Source organism: Homo sapiens, chromosome X (assembly GCF_000001405.40).
Source record: "Homo sapiens chromosome X, GRCh38.p14 Primary Assembly".
Taxonomy (NCBI): Eukaryota; Metazoa; Chordata; class Mammalia; order Primates; family Hominidae; genus Homo; species Homo sapiens.
Genome location: NC_000023.11, coordinates 9,417,659 through 9,443,142, shown reverse-complemented (window position 1 = coordinate 9,443,142; position 25,484 = coordinate 9,417,659). Strand labels below are relative to the sequence as shown.

Genomic DNA, 25,484 nt, shown 5'->3' with positions numbered 1-25,484 from the left:
CCTCTCCAAGTCTCCCTCCCGCCCCTTCGTCCAAGTCTCCCTCCCGCCCCTTCGTCCAAGTCTCCCTCCCGCCCCTTCGTCCAAGTCTCACTGCTTCGGTGAGGCCTCCGGGACCTTTCACAGCCCTGAGCCTTGGGGGCCACCCTCTGTACTGGAGGAAGCCGTGTAGTCTGTGTCATCAGTTACCACTGCTGTCTGCATTTTGCGTTTCTACCCTGCAAGCTGGGCCTCTCCTGAGGGCCGACTCTTCTTTATGACAGTCACAGTGCTATGCTTTCTGTTCATTGACATATCATGAGTTCAAACGACAATTCTAAAATGGCTTGTGTGGTCTTGGGGGAAACGGATCTTGTCTAAGAAGGGGAGAAGGGAGGGTGGAAAAGCCTATGAGTCACAGGGATTTGGCTACTTTGGGAACCAGCCACCTCTAGTAGTTTTATGTTAGAGACTGAGGCATGGGAGTGGGGTGCTGCAGGCAGGAGACTCATATGCTTGTGTCCTACAATTATTTCACAGAGAATGCCAACCTTTCCAGCATGCTATGTATAGTACAGTGCCTTGCACACAGGTGATCAATAAATAGTTGAACACAGGAAAATGCCCTTAAATATTATTTTCATTTAAAAATAAATTTAATGAATTACTGACACATGCTATAATGTGGAAGAACCTCAAAAGCATTATGCCGAGTGAAAGAAGCCAGACACAAAAGATCACATATCACATGATTTCATTCATATGAAATGTCCAGAATAGGTAAATCCATAGAGACAGAAAGTAGATTAGTGGTTACCAGGGGCTGGAAGAAGGCGATAGGATGGGGAGTGACTATTGAATGGGTATGGGGCTTTTTGGGAGGCTGGTGAAAATGTTTTGGCTCTAGACGGAAGTGAAAGTTGCACAAGTCCGTAAATGTGCTAAATGCCACTGAATTGAACACATTAAAGTGGCTAATTTAGTTATGTGAATTTCATCACAACTAAAAAAAAACACAGGAAAAACTTTCGTAAAACTTTTTTCAAAATAAAATTAATTTAATACATGAAAAAGTAACCAGAAACCATTTCCCCACTGGACTGCAGAAGCACAAAAGACCCTTCTACTTGATGTTTGGCCAAGTTTTTATTTCAGAAGTAGCAAAAAGGAACACCTGAAATCAGAACCTACTGCAAATATACATATTAGTGTAGGTTCAGTCCCCTCACACATTTCCCAGCACTGATTCCTCAGCCATCTATATTGAAACCAGAATGTTGATTGCTTGTGCTTCATTGGGCAAATAACTGTTTTCTTCCTTCATAGAGACAGTAAATGATAACAGCTTAGCTCACAGAAAAAGGATAAGCAATACCAGATTTGGAACATATTGAAAGCTGTATCGATCTATGGATTCTACCATCTACAGAAATGGTCAGTGGCTGTTAGCTACAAGAACCTGTCAAGCAAAATCAAAGTGTAGAAATACAATTTGTATGTCTTTGTCCAACATTGAAGGGTGGAATTAGAACACATCAAGAGGGAAATATGAATAATATAATATTAAACACTTAAGCACTACATTTTTGTGCCAAAGCTGGTTGAAAAAGAATAAAGTAACGTGCAGCAAAAATAACCCTTGGAGGGCAAAGGTGTGGTGGGGTGGGGAAGAGAAGGAAGAGGGTAAAACAGAATATTCCAGCTCATGGGTCTCCTGAATGGTTCTTGTTGAGTTTTAATCACTCATTTTATATTCTGTTGCAGTGTCTACTGCACCAGCCTTGGGCTAGGTTGGATTTTTGTCTTTATTTTATTTATTTATTTATTTTTGAGACGGAGTCTTGCTCTGTCGCCCAAGCTGGAGTGCAGTGGCACAATCTCGGCTCACTGCAACCTCTGCTTCCCAGGTTCAAGTGATACTTCTGCCTCAGCCTCCCTAGTAGCTGAGACTACAGGCTTTTGGTTTCACGTGACTAGATTGTCTCTAGGATCAAATGTTTATCCTAACTACAGCTCAAAGAATTACAAGTGTATTTTCTGTTAGAGTCTTGTGGAGTCATTTTGCTTTCTTCCAAACACATCTTTTTCATTAAAGCCTCTTGAAAATGTTTGCTTAGTGGTTGCAAAAGCAACCTGTAGCACAAAAAATATCAAGTAAAAATAGTGAACAGAATCTGTGGGTGTATTTTCCCTGTGCCGAATTCCCCTTTCTTCCCCCTCCCCCATTCCCTGCTTCAACAGCTCCAGATCAGTAGGAAAAAATCCAATCGCTATATGCCCTACAAAGGGTGGTTTCTCCTCCCTCTTGCCAACATGATTTAGTTATGTAAAAAACATCAACTCTGAAAAGCATAATGCATTCATTCCCACCAAAAATAGTGCATTTAGGTTTATTAATGTTTGGGAACTTCAAGTAATGGAAAAACTGAGCCACATAAAAAGAGATGCATGATAAGTTGCTCTGAATTTAGCTCCATTTTATGATTAAGAACCCAGCACAACCAGTTGACAAGTCAGCCAGGCCTGTTGACCTTGCTTAACTTCCTTCTGAAAGCTCAGATGAAAACAAAAAGTTCCCTAAGCAGATGAAAATAGCTGCAAAAATAAATACGATATCTTGCTACAGGTTAAATAGGCTCTAATGGGGCTTCAGAAGATATTAAATGTTTTAAACAGAAGAGTGGTTAAAAATAGAGAGCAAATGTAAATAATCCAGGGGTTTTTTTTTTCCTCCAAGTTATTTTGGGGCTGAAAATTGCAGGTGGAGGAAGATGAGTAAGTGATACTTAAAACCAGTCTTTCCCTTGATCTTGTTTCATTACAGTCTTCATCTAAAGCTCTTGCAAAACAGTGACTGCTCCAGGTTGTTGGGGTGGATGGTCTAAAAGATAACTTTGGGGATTGGGTGAGTGAATGTGGCCCAACCTCAGGCAAACTTGTGAAGGGGCAAAATTTACCCTGTGCTGCTGGCTTTCTATTACTATTTTTTCTCTCATTTCTCCCACCCTCAAGGTGTGTGGAACAAACTTTGCTTTTGGCGGGGCGGGGGGAGGTGGGGGGGTCTTCATGATCCCTGTTCTTTTGTGGGATTCTGGCCTTCTGGCCTCTTAAGTGTGGGTAGGACGTATGTTTTGCTTCTTTTTTTTTTTTTTTTTTTTGACAGAGTCTTGCTCCGTCTCACCCAGTCTGGAGTGCAGTGGAGTGATCTCTGCTCACTGCAGCCTCTGCCTCCTGGGTTCAAGCGATTCTCCTGCCTCAGCCTCCCAAGTAGCTGGGACTAAAGGCGTGTGCCACCACGCTCGGCTAATTTTTTTGTATTTTTAGTAGAGACAGGGTTTCACCATGTTGGCCAGGCTGGTCTCGAACTCCTGACCTCAAGTGATCCACCCACCTTGGCCTCCCAAAGTGCTGGGATCACAGGCGTGAGCCACCGTGCCCAGCCTGTTTTGCTTCTAACCAGGAGAATATGGCAGAGGAGATGGGATGCCACACCAGTGACGAGGTTCCCTGATGCACAGTCTTGAAGAAGCAAGCAGCCATGGGGCAAGGAACCAAGGGCAGCCCCCCCAGGACCGCCCCCCAGCCAGCAGCCTGCAAGAAGCCAGTGCCCTGAGTCATGAAACCATTTTTTTTTTGGAGACAGAGTCTTACTCTGTTATCCAAGCAGGACTGCAGTGGTGCAGTTACAGCTTACTGCAGCCTCGACCTCCAGGGCCCAAGTGATCCTCCCACCATAGCCTCCTGAGTAGCTTGGATTACAGGTGTACATCACCATACCTGGCTAATTTTTCAAATTTTTAAATTTTTTCTAGGGATGGGGTCTCACTATGTTGCCCAGGCTGGTCGCAAACTCATGGGCTCAAGGGATTATCCTGCCTCAACCTCCCAAAGTGTTGGGATTACAGGCATGAGTCACCACACCCAGCCTGAGGGATCTTGATGGTGGATTCTTTTCCATCCAAGCCTCTAGATGAGAATGCAGTTCTGCTGACACATTGACTACAGCCTTGTGAAACCCTGAGCAAAAGGCACAGTTAAGCTGAGCTCAAATTCCCAACCCATGGAGATTCTGAGATAACAAACGTGTGTTATTTTAAGCCACTGCATTTGTGGCAGTTTGTTACTCAGCAATGGGCAAGTGTTATGGACTGAATTATGCTCCCCCCACAAATGCATATGTTGAAGCCCTAAGCCCTGGTACTTCAGAATGTGAATGTATTTGGAAATAGGATCTCCAAAGAGGCAATTAAGATAAAATGAAATCACTAGGGTGGGCCCTAAACCAATACGACTAGAATTCTTATAAGAATAGTAGATGAGGACACAGATGCACATAGAGGGACCACCATGTGAGGACACAGGGAGAAGACAGCATCTACAGGCCAAGGAGAGGTCCCAGTAGGAACCAGCCGTGCTCACACCTTGATCTTGGACTTCCGGCCTCCAGGACTGTTGGATAATAAATCGATGTTGGTTAAGCCACCCTGTCTATGCTACTTTGTCATAGCAGTCTAAACAGACTTAATACAGTAATTAATACACAAATGCTTGTGTTTTATTTCTACAGGACCTATTCTTACTATCCATCGACTGATTCCATCCATCGCTACCCATCTGCCACCCATCTGTAACCATCTTTCTTGCTCTGAAAATAATACGGTAAGGATTTATAGCTTTACTTCTCCATTTTATTAGGGGCATTCTGCAAATGGAAATGTTTTAAGGCCCTAAAGGAATCAGCCAGTCCCCAGCGGAGACCTCTGAGGAGGAGGAAGATGCAGTTCTTCCTCTTTCCCTCAGTTTTCATGGTGCTCAGGCATTAGGTGACAATGTCTATCATTGGGGACTAGGAGGCAGGAGGCAGAATGGCCCATGTATGTGTCAGGGTTTGCTTAGGGACCCCCAAACATGATCATGGTGCCACACCCAATGTCAGAGAGATGGTCAATGAGTGCCTGAAATGCTGTGGAGGTTAGAGTGGAAGAGAAGGGTGGGCTTGGAAGGCTCCGGGGAGGGAGTTCAGGTGGGAGAGGGTGACATGAAGGCAGGCAGAGAAAGCTGATTCCAGGACCAGCTGGATGGAGCAGGGAGCTTGGAGCAGAGTAGAAAGGCCCCGCAGCTTTCACAGGGTGCCAGATTGACAGCGATAAGGAAGGCCTTGAAGTGCTTTTGGCATGGTCTGCTCTGTTCCTTAAAGAGGCGTGGGTCTTCCCCCAGAACAAAAGAGTACGCTTTGCTAATAAGCCTGCAGGACAAACACATTTCGTGGTTAAACAATTCAGCAAGAAGAACCCATTTGTTGCTCTTGCAAGCTTGACTGGTGGCACTTCGTGCTAGCTCCATCAAGCTGCTTTTTGTTGCAAAATACTTGGATGCCCTAAAAGATTGGTGCCTATTGTAAGACAGAGTCTAAGGTTCCAAGACTATTTAGTCTGGGGTCACAAACACCAACTTTGAAGCAAGACACTCCAGCCTGGGTGAGAGAGTGAGATCCTGTCTCAAACAAACAACCCCCCCAAAAATACAAAGGGAATGTGTCCTAACTGTTCTTTCATGCTAGCAACTTTTTGTTGGGGGGCGGGGGGAATCTCACAACTTTATTGAAAAAAAGTGCAATGAGATTTGTCAACAGCTTAAAAGAAAGACGAAACTTAGATACCTTCCCTCAAGCACAGGACCAAAGGCAGACTGGACTCTTTCTGGATATTGTAGTCAGACAGGGTGTGTCCATCTTCCACCTCCTAGCAATTTTTAAAAGTTTGTAAAAATATATTAAAATGGTGACAGACTGAGGATGTTTTCCCTTGGTGGACTGGTGTGATGGTTAATGTTATTTATCCACTTGACTAGGTCATGGGGTGCTCAGACATTTGGTCAGACATTCTGGGTTTGTGTGAGGGTGATTTTGAGTTGCAAGTGCAGCATGACCTGCTATGGGAACATACACACGTCACTTAAACAGCTGTGTTCAGATTCTGCCTCTGAGAACTGGGGCTAGCATTACCTCTCTCACAGGGTGGATTTGAGGGCAAGGTAATTTCTGTATTCAATACTAGGCTTGGTATACAGTATTTGCTCAACACATTGAAGCTATGATGATTCACTGAAACATGGATCTCAATTAGTACAAGTGTGAGCAGGCACAATATTACTTAGATGACTTTGCAGAATTCAGTGCAAAATACGAAATAAAACAACTACCAAGAAATTGGGGGGAAGAGACCTGAGAATTATGAAGGGGCTGATTGACCCAAAATACAAACCATTAGGCTAGAGCAGTGACTCTCTGACTTGCACACACATCAGAACCTTCCAGAGGGGTTATGGAACCCAGATGGCTGGGCCCCAGTCATTGAGCTTCTGATTTAGCAGGTGTGAGGGAGGCCCAAGTATCCGTTTTTTTTTTTTTTTTTTTTTTTGAGACAGAGTCTTGCTCTGTCACCAGGCTGGAGTGCAGTGGCGTGATTCAGCTCACTGCAACCTCCGCCTCCCGGATTCAAGCGATTCTCCTGCCTCAGCCTCCCGAGTAGCTGGGACGACAGGCACATGCCACACCCAGCTAATTTTTGTATTTTTTTGTAGAGATGGGGTTTCACTATGTTGGCCAGGCTGGTCTGGAACTCCTGGGCTCAAGTGATCTGCCTGCCTCGGCCTCCCAAAGTGCTGGGATTACAGGCGTGAACCACTGCGCCTGGCCATATCTGCATTTCTAACAAGTTCCCAGCAGATGTGAATGTTTGTCCGAGGAACACACTTGGAGAATGAATTGCTGTGCAATGGAAAGTTGCTATTGGAATGCTTGTTTTTTTTTTTTTTTTGTTTTTTGTTTTTTTAGACAGAGTCTCACTCTGTCGCCCAGAGCTGGACTGCAGTGGTGTGATCTCGGCTCACTGTAACCTCCACCTCCCGGGTTCAAGCGATTCTTGTGCCTCAGCCTTCCGAGTAGCTAATTTTTGTATTTTTAGTAGAGACAGAGTTTCACCATGTTGGTCAGGCTGGTCTTGAACTCCTGACCTCAAGTGATCTGCCTGTCTCGGCCTCCCAAAGTGTTGGGATTACAGGTATGAGCCACCGCGCCTGGCGTGGATGGAATGCTATTAATAGTGCATGCACTTAACCAACATTGGAGGATTGCAAGTGCCCACTGCTAAGTGCTCAGGAAAACCCAGAACACTGAAGACATGACTCCTGCCCTGGAAAAGCATGAAGCCTATGGAAGGACATAAGCCCACCCTACATCAGACTATAATGAGTGCTGTAACGGGTGGGCAGAGGTGCCTGGGGGCTCTCAGAGCAGGGACCCTGCCCTTCCTTGGAATAAGGAGCTGCTGTGCTTCCCCGATCTCAGGGAGTGCAGGGGGCCCCAGAAGTCTGGGGTTGGAATTCAGGTACCTGAAAACCTTGCAGTGAACTTCATAACTCTTAAAATAAAACAGCCACTTCATTATGCTAGAAAGTAATATTAAAGGCCTTCCTCCAGGACACTGAGTTCTCTTTGGCCAATCCCCGCTTCATTGAAGTCACACAAATAACTACAAAGTGTCCAGGTGTGGTAGCTCATGCCTGTAATCCCAGCACTTTGTGGGGTGGAGGCAGGCGGATCGTTAGAGGCCAGGAGTATCTGGCTTTCAGTAACCTTCAGCTGATGGGACGAGTCCTACTCACAGTAGAGAGGGCAATTTGCTTCACTCACTCTACAGTGCAAATGTGAATCTCATCCAAGATCACTCTCCAGGCTGGGCGCAGTGGCTCATGCCTATAATCCCAGCACTTTGAGAGGCTGAGATGGGAGGATCCCTTGAGACTAGGAGTTCAAGACTAGCCTGGGCAACATGGTCTACAAAAATTAGCCAGGAGTGGTGGTGCATGCCTGTGGTCCCAAGTGGTGGTGCATGCCTGTGGTTCCAGTTACTCAGGAGACTGAGATGGGAGAATCACTTGAGCCCAGGAGGTCGAGGCTGCAGTAAGCTCTGATTGCACCACTGCACTCCAGCCTGGGTGACAGAGTGAGATCCTATCTCAAAAACAACCAAAAAGCCCCCCAAAAAAACTATAAAGGGAGTATGGCCCAACTGTTCTTTTCATGCTAGCAGTTTTTTTCGGGGATGGGGGTATGCCACAACTTTACTGAAAAAAAAGTGCAATGAGATTTGTCAACAGCTTAAAAGAAAGAGGAAACTTAGATACCTCCCCTCAAGCACAGGACCAAAGGCAGACTGGACTCTTTCTGGATGTAGTCAGACAGTGGGCGTCCATCTTCCACATGCTAGCAAGTTTTAAAAGTTTGTAAAAGGCCGGGTGTGGTGGCTCACGCCTGTAATCCTAGCATTTTGGGAGGCCGAGGTGGGCGGATCACCTGAGGTCACAAGTTCGAGACCAGCCTGACCAACATGGAGAAACCCTGTCTCTACCAAAAACACAAAATTAGCCGGATGTGGTGGTGCATGCCTGTAATCCCAGCTACTCGGGAGGCTGAGGCAGGAGAATCACTTGAACCCTGGAGGCGGAGGTTGTGGTGAGCCAAGATCATGCCATTGTACTCCAGCCTGGGCAACAAGAGTGAAACTCCATCTCAAAATAAATAAATAAATAAATAAATAAAAGTTTGTAAAAATATATTAAAATGGTGACAGACTGAGGAAGTTTTCCTTGGTGGACTGGTGTGACAGTTAATGTTATTTGTCCATTTGACTGGGCCACAGGGTGCCCAGACATTTTGTCAGACATTCTGGGTGTGTGTGAGGGTGATTTTGGATGAGATCACATTTGCACTGTACACTGAGTGAAGCAGATTACCCTCCCAGTACAGGTGGGCCTTGTCCAATCAGTTGAAGCCTTAAATAGAACACAAAGGCTGAGTAAGAGGGAGCTCCTGCTGCCTGACTGCTTGAGCTGACATCAGTCTTCCTGCCTTTGGAATTGAGCTGAAACATCAGCAGCCTGCTGACTTTCCAACTGGAACTTAACGCCATTGGTTCTCCTGGTTCTCAGGACTTTGGACTCACCTAGAACTTATACTGTTGGCTCTCCTGGGTCTCCATCTTGCCAACTGCAGTTCTTAGGATTTCTCGGCCTCTATAATCACGTGAGCCAATTCCTTATAACAAATAATAAATCATATACATATGACTATGATATATAATATATATTATATATGAACTTAGAAGCTTCACACATTTACTACCTTATACTTTACCTTGGTCAGAATTCTGGGCACAGCACAACCAGATCCTCTGCTCAGGGTTCACCAGGATGAAATCAAGGTGTCAGTTGGGTCTGGATCTCATCCCAGGCTTGGAGTTCTTTTTCCAGCTCATTGAATTTTGGCAGAATTCAGTTTTTTGTGGTTGTAGGGCTGTGGCCCCTCCTCTCCTAGAGGCTGTTCCTTCCCACAAACAGTTCACACTGTGGCTGTTTGCTTCATCTCTGAAGCCAACGGAAAAGTCTCTGTGTTTTTTAAGGGCTCACTTGATTAGGTCAGACTCACCCAGGATAATCTCCTGTTTGGTTGACTCAGAGGCAACCAATCAGTCCCCTAATGATGGGAATGGCATCTCGTAATGGTCACGGGTCCTGCCCACACTCAAGTGGAGGGGATTATATGGGGCGTATACACCGGCGTGAGCACCTTTGGGCTGTAGTAGCATTCTGCCCACACACTTACTCTTTCCAGATCCCTCCCACCACATTGCTTTCACCTCCACATTGCCCCCCTTTGCATCCCCTCCCCCAGCAGTGTTATCAAATCTAGACCACCTAGACTGGAAGAGGAGGGGCAGATGGGTTAATTATGCCGACTCCTGAGCCCCTAATCAAAGTCTCAATGGATGGTGATTGGAATTCCCCTCAATGAGTTTTGGGGACTCTAAACTTTACAGCTCCTTTCCTGCTGGCCCCAACATCTGCCTGCCAGCGGGGTTCCACCAGCTCTGCCTCTCCTTCTTCCTGATGCCTCGTCCGCTTCTTCTGCCCCTGCCCAATGACTGGATCCATGCTGGGTTCTCTGTGTCGTTGTCTTTCAGGGACAGGCTTGTCTCTGGCCTCCAGGGATGGGGACACAGCCCAAGGATGGATCTTCTTTCAGATGGGTGTCTCTGTCCCTGGCTACTTGCTTGGACTTCTGGCAAAAATGACCCACCCCTCCCATCTTCCCTTCCTCTTCCTCCCTCCCTTCCTTCCTTCCTGTCACTGAAACTGGAGGGCAGTGGTGCAGTCATAACTCACTGCAGCCTCAAACTCCTGGGCTCGAGCAATCCTCCCTCCTCAGCCCCCCAAAGCACTGGGATTACAGACATGAGCCACCTCGCCCTACCAAGAATGGCTTCCAGTTGCTAGGGTATACACACTCCAGGGGTGCCTACCCTCTAGTGCCATATTGAATTCTTCCCTGCCGCTGCCCTCCTTACCCCTAATCCTGCAAGTTTCCCAGAATTACCACCTTTTATCTACGTGTAGGCCCTGCCCCCTGACTCCTACAGCTGGATCTTTCTCAAACATCTCCTGCCTCGCTTCTTTGAATGGTTCTCACACTGTGATCCTGGGATCAGCAGCCCTAGCAGCACCTGAGAAACTGTTAGAACTGCACAGGAATTCTGGGAGTGGGTCCCCACCATTCATATTGTAACAAGCCCTCCAGTTGCTACTGATGCATGCTGAAGTTTGAGAACCATGGCTTTATTTATTTATTTATTTTTTTGAGACAGAGTCTCACTCTGTTGTCCAGGCAGTGGCACCTCGACTCACCGCAACCTCATCTCCTTGGTAGCTGGGGCTACAGGCCTGTGCCACCGCACCAGGCTAATTTTTGTATATTTTGTAGAGACGGGGTATCGCCATGTTGGCCAGGCCGGTCTTGAACTCTTAGGCTCAACCGATCTGTCCACCTCAGCCTCCCAAAGTGTTGGGATTACAGGCGTGAGCCACCATGCCCGGCCGAGAACCACGGCTTTAGATCAGCCATTCTCAACGTCGGCTATACATTGAAAGTGCTTGAAGAGCTTTTAAAAATCCCAAAAGCCCAGCCGGGCGCGGTGGCTCACGCCTGTAATCCCAGCACTTTGGGAGGCCGAGGTGGGCGGATCACCTGAGATCAGGAGTTTGAGACCAGCCTGACCAACATGGTGAAACCCGTCTTTACTAAAAATACAAAATTAGCCGGGCATGGTGGCTTATGCCTGTAATCCCAGCTACTCAGGCGGTTGAGGCAGGAGAATCGTTTGAACCCGGGAGGCGGAGGTTGCAGTGAGCCGAGATCACACCATTGCATTCCAGCCTGGGCAACAAGAGCAAAAAACTCCGTCAAAAAAAAAAAAAAAATTCCCAAAAGCCTAGGCCCCATCCCAGGACAATGAATCAAATTAATGTTGCTGGGGGTGGGACCCAGGCTGCACTTGTTTTTAAAGCTCAGAGCGTGTCATCAGGTTCTGCAGGATTCTCTGATTTTGAGGGCAGTGCCTACTTTCCCCCTCACTTCTTGGTGGGCGCAGTCCACGTGTGACATGATGAAATGGCCTCACAGGACATTTCTCCTGAGTCCCTTTACCGTCTGAGGTTGGGAACCTTTCTCCATTTTCTCTCAGGAATTACATATACTTGTTTACTCCTGCCTACAATGCTTTTCCCATGCCCTGTTTGCATGTGTCAACCTGTTAAATCTCACCTTTGCTATTGCTTCCCCTGGCTGGGCGTGGTGGCTCATGGCTGTAATTCCAGCAATTTGAGAGGCCCAGGCAGCAGGATCACTTGAGCCCAGGAGTTTGAGACCAGTCTGGGCAACATAGCAAGATCCTATCTCTAAAAAAAGAAAATTAGCCAGGTGTGGTGACATGCACCTGTAGTCCCAGCTACTCGGGAGGCCAAGGTGAGAGGATTGCTTGAACCTAGGAGTTCAAAGCTGCCTTGAGTTATGATTACACCACTTCACTGCAGCCTGGGCAATAGAACAAGACCACCTCTCTCTCTCTTTCTCTCTGTCTCTGTCTCTGTCTTTCTATTATCTATCTATCTATCTATCTATCTATCTATCTATCTATCTATCTATCTACCTATCTATGTGTATATTTCTTCTCCAGCAATGCCTTCCCTTACTCTGTGTGTTAGTCTAGGTCCTCCTGTTTAAGACTCTGTATTTCTCCCATATAGGATCCTAATTTAAAATGTTAGAAAATCAAATTTCTCGTTAGATTTTATCTCAAAGAAAAAACAAAGATGAGGTCAGACTGCCACCAAGACAAATGAGAAAATCCATTTTCTTGCCACTGTCCAGCATAAACTGTGCAGACACTCCAACAAGGTGATGGGTAAATGACTTTGCCTGGAAAAGGCCCCAGTCATCCTGCATTCTCACCCCCGCCCCCCCAGCCCCGTATTTCATGTATTTATTGCATCTCTTGGGGGAGGAGCCACTTGCACACACATGCACAGCTGGAAGTATTTACTGGTGCATATTTATTAAAGTGTGCACTACGCATATCTGCAGAGTGCGAGGGTGGGTTCCTGACTTTAAGAAATTCACAGAGGGTTGAGGAATGTCCTCAGGCTTGTAAGGACAGACCTCCTGGGGGGCACCACTGTAACATGCAGGGCACCACTGTTCTGCCCGCCTCCTTGGGCACTACCCCAGCTATACTGCAAGCCCTCACAAGTCAAAGCTGAGGGTGGTCTTGTATGTGTGGCCTGCTAAAAGGGGACCACATTGCCCTGGCTTGGCAATGTATCCCAGAATATTTCTGAGTCCTTCATGTGATCCCTTGTTATTTCTCCTTTTGTTATGGCACCAGAATATGGATCCAGTGAAAAACCTGGTTAGGAGACAAATTTGAGTGTCAGCATGATGCTCTCTCTGTTCAGAGCCCTCTCTTCACTCCTTTCCCCTCATTCAGCTTGTGGTGTTTGCCTCTTAGCCACACAGCTTGAAGTCTCTTGTCCTCAGCCCTTCATGGAAATGAATCTCCCTGCATTTCTCCCTCCATGCTCTCCTGTGTGGCTCTTCTCAGTTTGCCCCCACATCCGTTCTCGGCTCTTCTTTGCCCTGCTGTGTCATGGAGGCTGGTCCCTGCAGGCTGTACCATCCGGTTTGTCCGGTGTGCTTTTGCTTCTGCAGGAAACATTTAGTTCTTGTTCATAAGGCATGCAGGCTGTGCATCAGCTTTGCCTTTGCTGAGTTCTAACAGACTAGACTTGGCTCAGTTCCATGCACTCTTCCCATATCTGGAGCCAGATCCTATCTGGCACCTGCTCTTCTCAAGGCCAAAAGCAGACACTCAAGTGCATGCCAACCACACCAGTGCATTTCAAGTTCTGTTAGAAGTAGTGTTTGTCGGCCGGGCGCGGTGGCTTACGCCTGTAATCCCAACACTTTGGGAGGCCGAGGTGGGCAGATCACGAGGTCAGGAGATCGAGACCATCCTGGCTAACACCGTGAAACCCCATCTCTACTAAAAATACAAAAAATTAGCCGGGCATGGTGGCGGGTGCCTGTAGTCCCAGCTACTCGGGAGGCTGAGGCAGGAGAATGGCATGAACCCAGGAGGCGGAGCTTGCAGTGAGCCGAGATCACGCCACTGCACTCCAGCCTGGGCAACAGAAAGAGACTCCGTCTCAAAAAAAAAAATAAAAATAAAAATAAAAAGTGGTGTTTGTCACATCTGCTTGCATTCCATTGACCAAAGCAAGTCATATGGCTAAGCTCAAGGTCAAAGGGGCAAGGAAGTATATTCTGCCTACAGGAGCACGTGACATTGGCTGGGAGGAATGGGTCAATTGAGAAGAAACAGTACAGTCTTCCACACCTAGCTCCCTTCCCCTCCAGCTTCTAGTTGGGTTCCCTTAACTCTATCCACCTTTCTCTGTAAATAGCTTCTGCATTTAACTGTCTTTACTTAACCCTTCTGTGTATGCCATCTGCTTCCTGCAGAGACCCTACCTGATACACCAGGACTGAATTGGGATCTGCCTACTTCTTTGACTCTTAATTCAAAGGCTGTATTTACACAGCTAACAATTTATTATAGGTAGATCTCCACTTTACTCTAATGAAGTATATCTGTAATGAACATGAGTACACACAGAAATAATTCTTTCACTGTGAAGAGCTCTTGTTTATACTGTAAGTGCACTTAGATTTTTAGTGTGGTTGATAATCTTTGGTTTTAGTTATAACCTTTATGATAATTTTTAGTTCAGTTTGTGATATAATTTAATAACTTAGTTATTTTAATACCAAAGAAGAGAGAAAAATTACAGATGAATATTTATGTTATTAAGCTAGATTAATTTCTTGTAAGTAATCCAATGTCAAACATATTGAGCCAGCCTATAATATCCCTCAGGTACAAGTGACAGTAAAGCTTATAGACTTATGAGAGATATAGTGATATGTAATGCATACAGTTCATAATAAAGTCCATTGAATTGACATGGGTGATCTTCCTATGTATTTCTTTTTTTTAAATTTATTTTTTATTTTTTTAGACGGAGTCTCACTCTGTTGCCCAGGCTGGAGCGCAGTGGAGTGATCTCGGCTTACTGCAAGCTCCGCCTCCTGGGTTCACGCCATTCTCCTGCCTCAGCCTCCTGAGTAGCTGGGACTACAGGCGCCCACCACCACTCCCGGCTAATTGTTTTTTTGTATTTTTAGTAGAGATGGGGTTTCACCATGTTAGCCAGGATGGTCTCTATCTCCTGACCTCGTGATCCGCCCACCTTGGCCTCCCAAAGTGTTGGGATTACAGGCGTGAGCCACCGCGCCCAGTCTACTTTCCTATGTATTTCTGCATGTGATGATTGAAAAAAGAAATCACAAAGAAGATCTGTTTTGCAAAAAGTGTTTTGTTTTGTTTTTTTTTGAGACAAAGTTTTCGCTCTTGTTGGCCAGGCTGGAGTGCAGTGGCACAATCTCGGCTCACTGCAACTTCTGCCTCTCTGGTTCAAGTGATTCTCCTGCCTCAGCCTCCCAAGTAGCTGAGATTACAGGCGTCACCACCACGCCTGTCTAATTTTTTGTATTTTTAATAGAGACAGGGTTTCACCATGTTGGCCAGGCTGGTCTCGAATTCCTGACCTCAGGTGATCCACCTGCCTCGGCCTCCCAAAGTGCTGGGATTACAGGCCTGAGCCACCGCGCCTGGCCACAAAAAGTGTTTTTTGAACAGTTTTATTGAGACCAGGCGTGGTGGCTCACACCTGTAATCCCAACACTTTGGGAGGCCGAGGCAGGTGGATCTCTTGAGGCCAGGAGTTTGAGACCAGCCTGGCCAACATGGTGAAACCCCATCACTACTAAAAATACAAAAATTAGCTGGGAGTGGTTGCACATGACCGTAATCCCAGTTACTCAGGACGCTGAGGTTGCAATGAGCCGAACCTGGGAGGCGGAGGTGAGCTGAGTGAGCTGAATTCGTGCCACTGGACTTCAGCCTGGGTGACAGAATGAGACTCTGTCTCAAAAAAAAAAAAAAAAATCATAATTTAAAAAAACAGCTTTAATGAGATATCCATTGACATAAAATAAACCATGCATATGGACAATTATAATTTGATAAGTTTTGTTATATGTATATATCTGTGAAACCATCACCACATTAGAAATAATGAGTGGAGCAGTATGAGTTCCCTATGACTGCTTTAACAAATTACCACAAACTTAGTGGCTTAAAACAACATAAATTTTTTTTTTTTTTTTAGACAGAGCCTTGCTCTGTCGGTCACGCTGAAATCACTACAGCCTCAAATTCCTGGGCTCAGGTGTGCACCACCATGTTTGGTTAATTGTTTTTTTTTTTTTAATTTATTTTTTATTTATTTAGACAGAGTCTCACTTTGTCGCCCAGGCTGGAGTGTAGTGGCGCAATCTCGGCTCACTGCAACCTCCGCCTCCCAGGTTCAAACGATTCTCCTGCCTCAGCCTCCCAAGTAGCTGGGATTACAGGCGCCCACCACCACGCCCTGCTAATTTTTGCTTTTTTAGTGGAGATGAGTTTCCACTATGTTGGCTAGGCTGGTCTCGAACTCCTGACCTCAAGTGATCCGCCCACCTTGGCCTCCCAAAGTGCTGAGATTACAGGCGTGAGCCACCTTGCCTGGCCTATTGTTTTTATTTTTTAAGAGATAGTCTTGATATGTTGTCCAGGTTGGTCTTAAACTCCTGGCCTTAAAGAAGCCTCCCTAGTAGCTAGGATTACATGTGCATCCCACCACACCCAGCTGAAACAACACAATTTTATCATCTTACAGTTCTGAAGGTCAGAAGTCTGCAAGGGGTCTTGGAGGGCCAAAATCAAGATATCAGCAGGGCTGTACTCCTTTCTGGAGACTCTAGGGGATAATCTATTTCCTTGCCTTTTCCAGCTTCTAGAGGTTTCTTGTATTCCTTGGCTCATGGCCCCTTCCTCCATCTTCAAAGCCAGCAATGTTGCGTCTCTCTGACCATTTGCTATGGTTTACACATGGTTTGTTCCAGTCCAAAACTTATGTTGTGAGTTGATTTTCAATGTGGCTATGTGGGAGGTGGGGGCTAGTGGGAGGTGTTTAGGTCATGGGGAAGATCCCTCATGAATAGATTAATGCTGTCCCTCAGGGGTGAGTGAGTTCTTGCTCTCACTGGAATGGATTAGTTCCTGAGAGAGCAGGTTGTTAAAAAGAGTCTGGCTTCCTCAGTTTCTCTCTTGCTTCCTTTCTCACGATGGGGTCTCTTTGCACACACCCACTCTCCTGTTTTCCACCATGAGTGGAAGCAGACTGAGGCCCTCACCAGATGCAGTTGCCCAATTTTGGAATTTCCAGCCACAGAAACATGAGCCAAATGAAACTCTTTTCTTTATAAATTACCTAGCCTCAGGTATTCTGTTACAGTAACTCAATATTGGCCAACACACCATTCTTCTGTAGTCATACTTCCTTCTGACTCTGAATGCTTTTGCCTCCCTCTTCCGTTTTTAAGGAGTTTTGTCATTACATTGTCCCAGCCGGATAATCTAAGATAATCTTAAAGTCAGCCGGCTAGCAACTTTAATTCCATCTACATCCTTAACTCCCCTTTGCCATGTAAAGTAACATATTCACAGGTTCTGGGGATTAGGACATGGAAGTCTTTGGGGAACCATGATTCTGTCCATTACTATTCTTATCACTTCTAAACATTTCCTCAAGCCCTTTGTAACCCCTCCCTCCAGCCCTTCCCCATTCTTCTATTCCCAAGTAACCACTGGTCTGCTTCCTGCCACATTATCTTGAGTTTATATGAATGGAGTTAGACAGTCTGTATTCTTTTTTGTCTGGATTTTTTCTTTCACTAAGGGTGATAATTTTGAGATTCATTCATGCTGTTTCATGTATCGGTCATCGATTCCTTTTTATTGCTGAGTAGTATTCCACTGTATGTTGCATTATGGTTTGTTTCTCTGTTCATCTATTGATGGACATTTGGATTGTTTATGGTTTTTACAGTTTCCAGCTATTACAAATAGAGCTGCTATGAGCATTTGCTTATCAGTTTTTGTATGGAACTATGCTATTTCTCTTGGATAAGTATCTATAACTGGAAAGGCTGGATCCTATTATAGATATATGTTTTAACTCTTTCAGAAACAAACTTTGTGAAGCGATAAAAAAAAACCAACAAAATGGTTGTATCATTTTACATTTGTACTAACTGTGTATGAGATTTCCAGTTTCCCCACATCCTCACCAACACTTGGTGTGGTTGGTTTTTAACATTTCAACCACACAATATATCATTTTAAAGATCAGGCTCTGATGTTTACCCCCTGGGTGACTTTTGTTTGTTTAAGACAGGGTCTTGCTCTGTCCAGGCTAGAGAGCAGTGGCACAATCACAGCTCACTGCAGCCTCAGCCTCCTGGACTCAAGTGATCCTCTCACCTCAGCCTCCTGAGTAGCTTGGATTACAGGCCTGTGCCACCATACCTGACTAATTTTGTAGTTTTTGTAAAGGTGGAGTTTTGCCATTTTGCCCAGGCTGGTCTTGAACTCCCGGACTCAGGCAATCCTCCCACCTCAGGCTCCCAGGTAGCTGGGACTACAGGCATGCATCATCATGCTTACCTAATTTTTAAGTTGTTTTGTAGAGATGGGGTCTCCCTATGTTGCCTAGGCTTGTCTCTAACTCCTGAGCTCAAGCCATCTTCCCAGATCGGCCTCTCAAAGTGCTGGGAATATAGGCATGGGCCACTGTGTCTGGCCCAGTTATGTGTTTTTTATCATAAACACACAAATATAATGAAAAATACCCAAATCCCCTTGATTTTTTTTCTATTTATATGTCTTAAAGATATAAAAGTGTTTATCATTTAATTGTCTATTGTAGTAACAAAGGAAAAAGACCACTAGGTAAATATCCTCAATGGTGACTACATGTGATACACAACATGCTATGCAGTATACTACACCTATTTTTTTTTTTTAAACTTGGATGTTTCTGGCTACAGGTTGAACAAGTTTGTAGGAACAGTATTCCTAATGAATTTACGGCCCCCTGTGTTGCTCAGAGACTAGGGCTTATCGGATAGTAATGTCAGTTAAGCAGAAAATAGCCTTTTTCCCTCTGAGTTATCTTGCTCTACTCAGAGCATTGTAAGGTGAAAGAGATCCACATGTGCATTTCTTCCTGTTGGTATATAGACCCTGATTGAGGGATATAGGCCAGGCCTCCATATTCTGGAAAGGCTAATGATAACATAAACCCAGTGCACAGTTTATGATCCCTGTCCCATGTCATTTTCCTTCTAACCCCTCACTTCTCTACTCCTCCTTCCCAGAGGCTTCTTTTGCTTCCTAATCACCCAGTCCCCCTGTTCTCTGCAGCACCAAAATTAGATCTTCAATGTGTTTTTCTATCAAGAGTGAGTGTTGCTCATTCCTACTAGGATGGCTAAAATTAAACAACCAACCAAACAACCAACAGAAAATAACAAGTGTTGGTGAGGATGTGGAGAAATTGGAACACTCACACATGGCCAATTGCAATGTAACACAGTGCAGCAGCTGCTGAAAGAGCTGGGCAGTTCCTCAAGGAGTTAAACGTAGAATTACCAAATGATCCAGCAATTCGTCTTTGTAGTATACACTGCAGGATTGAACGCAAGAACCCAAACACATACTTACACACCAGTGTTCATCGCAGGGTCGTTTACCATAGCCAAAAGGTAGAAGCAGCCCAAGTGAATGGATAAACAAAAGGTGGCATATCCATACAATGGAATATTATTCAGCCTTAAAAAAGAATGAAGTTCTGAGTCATATTGCAACATGGATGAACTTTGAAAGTATTGGGTTAGATGAAATAAGCCAGATGCAAAAGGACAGATAGCGTATGATTGCACTTCTATGAAATATCTAGAATGGGCAGAATCAGAGACAGAAAATGCATTAGAGGTTACCAGAGGCTGCAGGAGGAAGGCATGAGGAGTTATTGCTTAGCGGGGACAGAGTTTCAGTTTGGGAAAAGGAGAAAGTTCTGGAGACAGGTGGTGGTGATAATTGTACAACATCATAAATGTGATCAACATCATGAACAGAACATTTAGAAATGGCCAAAAGGGCAATTTTTATGTTATATATATTTTATCACAATAAAAAAATTCAGAAAAATAGAGAATGGCTGGGTGTGATGGTTCATACCTGTAATCCCAACACTTTGGGAGGCTGAAGCAGGAGGATTGCTTGAGCCCAGGAGTTCGAGACCAGTATGGGCAACATAGCAAGACCCCGTATCTACAAAATAAATAAATAAATAAATAAAAAATTAGCTGAGTGTGGTGGCACATGGCTGTAGTCTTAGCTATACAGGAGGCTGAGGTGGAGGATCTCTTGGTCCTGGGAGGTCGAGGCTGCAGTGAGCTGTGATTGCACCACTGCGCTCCAGCCTGGGTGACAGAGCAAGACCCTGTCTCAATAAATAAATAAATAAATAAAATATTTAAAGAAAAATTGTAGTGTTTTTTTTTCTTTTTTTTTTTCGACAGGGTCTTACTGTGTCACCCAGGCTGGAATGCAGTGGTATGATCACAGCTCACTGCAGCCTTGAAGAGTCTCAAACTCCTGTCCTCAAGTGATCTGCCTACCTCAGCCTCCCAAAGTGCTGGGATTACAGGCATGAGCCACCTGGGCTGCCTGGCCCAATTTTTAAATTTTTTTGAAGAGATGGGGGTCTCGCTATGTTGCCCATGCCGTTCTCGAACTCCTGGACTCAAGCAATCCTCCCACCTCAGTCTCCTGAGTAGCTGGGACTACAGGTGCTCTACCATGCTCAGCTAATTTTTTTTTATTTTTAGTAGAGATGGGGTTTTGCTGTGTTCCCCAGGCTGGTCTCCAACTCCTGGGCTTGAGCAATCCACCCTCCTTGGCCTCTCACAGTGTTGGGATTACAGGTGTGAGCCACTGTGCCTGGCCTAATTATACTTTTATTAAGCTGGGAACATATAATAATCTGGTTTCGGTTAATAAATCATGATCTTAAGGATATCTTTTGAGGGCTTGCTTTAATGAACAAATGAGAATAATTCCTAATTAGTATAGCACTTTTCGGGGGAAGCTTGGAGGAAAAAAAAACAACCCAGTAAAATGAGATAATAATTACTATGCTAGAATCCAACAATATATCTGGAATATCCAAGGTCACATTTTTGGATGCATGCTAACAATATCAGCACCACAGTAAGGGAAGACACAATTTCTAGTTATGTAATATTTACTAATGCATGAAAAACGATTCATTAGCTTTGTCGAAGGAGAATTTGTGCCAATTAATTGATCAGAGCTATATATATATATATATATTTTTTTTTTTTTTTTTTTTGAGACGGAGTCTCGCTTTGTTTCCCAGGCTGGAGTGCAATGGCGTGATATCAGCTCACTGTGAGCTCCACCTCCCAGGTTCATGCCATTCTCCTGCCTCAGCCTCCCGAGTAGCTGGGACTACAGGCTCCCACCACCACGCCCGGCTAATTTTTTGTATTTTTAGTAGAGACGGGGTTTCACCATGTTAGCCAGGATGGTCTTGATCTCCTGACCTCGTGATCTGCCCGCCTCGGCCTCCCAAAGTGCTGGGATTACAGGCATGAGCCACCATGCCCCGCCCGATCAGAGCTATATTTTAATACACTTTTGAAAACACTTGTCCTGAATCAGCTAATTATTCGTAGATGGTTATTGAAACATTATACTAAAACTCAAAAGCCACATTCCGTTATTTATTTATTTCCTGACAGTTAGTTCAAAGGTGATTGCAGTGTCATTGCATGGGGACTCCCCTCACAGCTCATGTACAGATTGGCAATTACCAGTTCTTTTTCTCTGACTGGAATATGTATTCCTAGTGCTGGAGGCTTTGCCTCAAATGTCCCTGTTTCCAAGTTGGGAGTATGTATTTATCCTGTCTGTGCCATCTTTAGGAAATTCACAGCAAGGTTTTGCTCATTGATTCAGAAAACCTTTTTCCTGTTTTAGCAGTCTCTCCACCTAGGGTTGGTTGTTACATAAAGGATCTAACATCGCGCAGCTTCTGAAATGCCAGACGCGTAGGGTTTTAAGAGACGAAAACAGAACATATTTACCCATTCTCGGGTCGGTGTGGCCTGCAAGATGCTTTCTGGGACACAATAACAGGTCAAATGCAAATGTAACAACAAAGCAAAAAGCAAAAGGACACTCAAGTTACCCAAGGATGAGGTAGCTGCACTGAGAGTCCCGAAAACCGAAGAGCAGATACTGTGTACAAAAGAGCAAGTAGAAAACAGCATGAACTGTTTACATGTATGTAAACAATCACATGGCTCCATGACCTGCCATGTTTACGCCATTAAAATGATTAGCAAGCCTTTTTTTCGTGCAGCAAAGGTTCGATATTGCCAGCTTCTGTCAAAACCATCCCGTAATGCAAATTAGTGGAGTCCAAATTCCTTAGATCTCATTAGTTATGAGCTTGCTGGCACCTAGCAAGAAACATGCACAGGTTTGAAATTCAAACCCTGAAAGCAGGAAAGTTGAGTAAGGCAGGAAGGAAAAAATAAAATGTGTTCACAGTTGAAAGACAGGATGGACTAAAATGTAATGGCAACATAATTAAGTGGGAGTTTCACATTTGAAGGTGTTACTGGACAGAGGTTAGATATGTTCTCCTGCCTTTGGCTGACTTTCCCTGGGGGTACTGGCGGGGTGGGGGTGAGTGAAGGGAACTAGACTCAGGGTGATTACGGCAGGGGGCTGGGGGCCGGTCTCAGCACCAGGCTTTCATTTCTGGTCAGGATGGAAGCTGGCAGGAGCATTTAGAACTAAGAACTTGCTCTCAATCTCTGGTTTAAATCCACTCTGCGAAAGTCTGGATTTAAATCCACTCTGCAAAATTCAGTCCAACACCCACAGACTTTCTTTATTTCAGAGTAAACCATTTCATGGCAAAACGCCCAAACATGTCTGACTCTGCCCCTAATTGTGCAGGCACCCCACAGAGACAGGAAGCTGCCACTCACGGTGAGAGCATGAAGTTTGGAACCGCCCCCAGGGACACAACCTGGCTACCCCCTGACCGTCCCTGGGCCTCAGTTTCCTCATCTGTAAAATAGGGACAGAAACAATGTCTTCTTTAGGGTTGTTACGGGGAGTCAATGAGGTCATTCTTGTAGAAGGGTGTGGAAGTGTCCAGCTGATGGCAAACGCTATTTGACAAATGCATAGGGGGCATGCTCTTGGCTGTTGTTTTAAGATGACAAATACGAGGGAGGAATCTTTTGCCTCCTAAGCAGACGTAAAGGGATTATATTCTCCTTAAGCCTCCTGGGAACCTGGAAGAGAGAGACGTTGGTGGGAGAGGGGGATGAAGGGAAGGAGGGGCATGAGGAGAGAGAGAGAGAGAGAGTCCTTGATGTCTTCAGCGACATGGGAAAGAGACAAGGTGTGCCCTGTATTCCTCTCTCCTCACCCTCTGTCTCTCCAATCCCTCTCCCTGCCTGAGCCCAGTTCCCCACGCCTGAGGCCCACTGAGGCAAGGTCTCGTCTCTGCTGGCTGTAAGCCAGTCTTCTTCTTATTTATTTATTTTTGTAGAGACAGGGTCTCACTATATTGCCCACGCTGGTCTCATACTCTAAGCGCTCAAGCAGTCCTCCCGCCTCGGCCTCCCAAAGTGCTGGGATTACAGGCATGTGCCACTGCACCTGGCCCACCAGTTTTCTTTTTGCACGTTGCTCAATAAAGGCTGAAGCGTCGCCCCTTCCAGGAATTGTTGGTTCTTTAGCAGGAAATGTTGAAACCCTAAGAAATCCTGCAGGATTCCAAGAATCTCAGGCCATGCCCTGGGGACCTGAGAAATCCTCGGCAGTGACATGACCTGGTGTGACCGACACCTGCTGGGAAGGTTGGCGGGCTGCAGTCCTTAAGTCCCTCTTCTGCACTCGAGCACTTGAGCACCAGGACTCTTGTGGCTTTAGGTGTGACAAGGTGTGTGGGAACCCCAAATGCCCATGGCGTTCAGAAGCCGTGGCCTCACCAGGAGGACCTCTGGTCCCAGAGGGGGACTTTAGCAATGACGGCATAGGAGGCATGATTCTGGAAAGATTCTGGAGGGACACAGCACAAGCACAAGCACAGAGATTAAATGCCAATGAGGACCACTGTGGGCACCCCAGAGCACCAGGGATGGACAGAAGGCTGTAGAACTACACAGTCATGTAGCGGCTGTCGGCTCCAGTGGCTGTGGAGCTCTGAGCACATGACAGGTCCACACTGAGACGTGCTGAGAGTGTGAAATACACTCATGATAACAAAGGCACAGTAAAATGTCTCACCGAAAATTTTCATATTGATTGCAGCTTGAAATGATAGCATTTTTAAATATACTGGATTAAATAAAATACATTATTAAAACGAATTCCACTTCTTTCTTTTTACCATTTAAATTATGTCTATTAGAAAATTGAGGATGGGGCCGGGCGCGGTGACTCACGCCTGTAATCCCAGCACTTTGGGAGGCCGAGGCGGGCAGATCACAAGGTCAGGAGATCGAGACCATCCTGGCTAACATGGTGAAACCCCGTCTCTACTAAAAAATACAAAAAATTAGCCGGGCGTGGTGGCAGGCGCCTGTAGTCCCAGCTACTCAGGAGGCTGAGGCAGGAGAATGGCGTGAACCCGGGAGGCAGAGCTTTCAGTGAGCCTAGATCGTGCCACTGCACTCCAGCCTGGGCGACAAAGCGAGACTCAGTCTCCAAAAAAAAAAAAAAAAAAGAAAGAAAGAAAGAAAAATTGAGGACAGGTGCGGTGGCTCACGTCTGTAATCCCAGCACTTTGGGAGGCTGATCGGAAAGTATCACTTAAGCCCAGGAATTTCAGACCAGCCTGGGCAACAAAAAAAAAATTGTTTTTTAATTAGCTAGATGTGGCGGCATGCACCTGCAGTCCCCACTACCCAGGAGACTGAGGTGGGAGGATCACTTGAACCCAGGATGTGGAGGCTGCAGTGAGCCGTGATCGCATCACTGCACTCCAGCCTGGATGACAGAGTGAGATCCTGCTTCACACACACACCCAAAGAAAAAATAAGTTGGGGAAACGTGGAAATGAAAGAAAAATTTTAAGTTAAAAAAAAAAAGAAAGAAAATTGCGATTGACTTTGGTCAGCACTAGGCTAAAAGTTTCTACAGAGGCAAACAGGCCACACCTGACAGTTCAAAGGCGGCAGGTTCCTTAGGGCTAATACTGCGGGGGAAGTGGAGCAATGGTAAATTTCTGAGGAGGGTGCAGTGCAGAGAGCACTCACTCGGGCAGAGTGATGAGGGCAAAGTTAACAGGTTGTTAAATGTGCAAGGATGAAAAATATATCTCTCCTGTACACGTCTCTGTAGGAGCTACTAGGGAATGTATTTCAGCAACACAAAATAGTAAACCAGGAAGGGAGGAAGACAAGGAAACCAGGAGACAAGGTCCCATGCTGGAAAGAGGTTGGGGTATTTTAGGACACTAGCCGTGTGCTGGGTTTAAAGCTAAACTGGTATATTGCAGAGCAGGAGGACACATGGCTCTCAGTGGCAGTGTTTGGGTGGAGACATGGGCGAGTTAGGTTATTTAATGTGTGTGAGCATTTGGGGAAAGCATTTGGAAAAAAATCAGAGAACATCTCTAGAAAACTAAGCAATTACATGAGACAGTTATTAATCCCAGAAAATACTCAGAGTTGTACAAGAAAGGAAATGCAGTCATAGTTTGCCACGTGGATCAACAGAGAGCATATTAAGCTATAATAACAGAAAGACTGTATTAGGGGCCAGGTGTGGTGGGTCATGCCTGTAATCCTAGTGCTTTGGGAGGCCTAGGTGGGAGGATTGCTTGAGGCCAGGAGTTCAAGACCAGATTGGGCAACAAAGTGAGACCCCTTCTCTATAAAGTTTTAAAAATTAGCTGAGTTTGGTGGAGTGTGTCTTTAGTCCTAGCTACTTGGGAGGCTGAGGTGGGAGGATCACTTGGGCCCAGGAGGTTGAAGCTGCAGCGAGCCGTGATTG

The 25,484-nt window shown here is 45.5% G+C and overlaps 1 long non-coding RNA gene across 2 annotated transcripts in view, besides 1 other annotated feature; it reads left to right on the top strand.

Annotated features, from left to right (window-relative positions):
* LOC107985634 (uncharacterized) overlaps positions 1-25,484 on the top strand; it is a 35,569-nt gene that overhangs the window by 382 nt on the left and 9,703 nt on the right. The window contains exons 1-2 of one of the 2 annotated variants that reach the window (XR_001755796.1): positions 4,387-4,445; positions 4,544-4,635. This is a non-coding gene — a long non-coding RNA (uncharacterized LOC107985634). Of the gene's footprint in view, positions 1-4,386; positions 4,446-4,543; positions 4,636-25,484 lie in introns of those variants that run through there. The other variant, XR_001755795.1, reaches the window with a different exon arrangement.
* Positions 2,695-2,895: a silencer, noted in NCBI's record as "peak7356 fragment used in MPRA reporter construct". NCBI's record gives its function as "represses an SCP1 promoter by STARR-seq MPRAs in K562 erythroleukemia cells {active_cell/tissue: K562}" and the evidence as "EXISTENCE:reporter gene assay evidence [ECO:0000049][PMID:32103011]".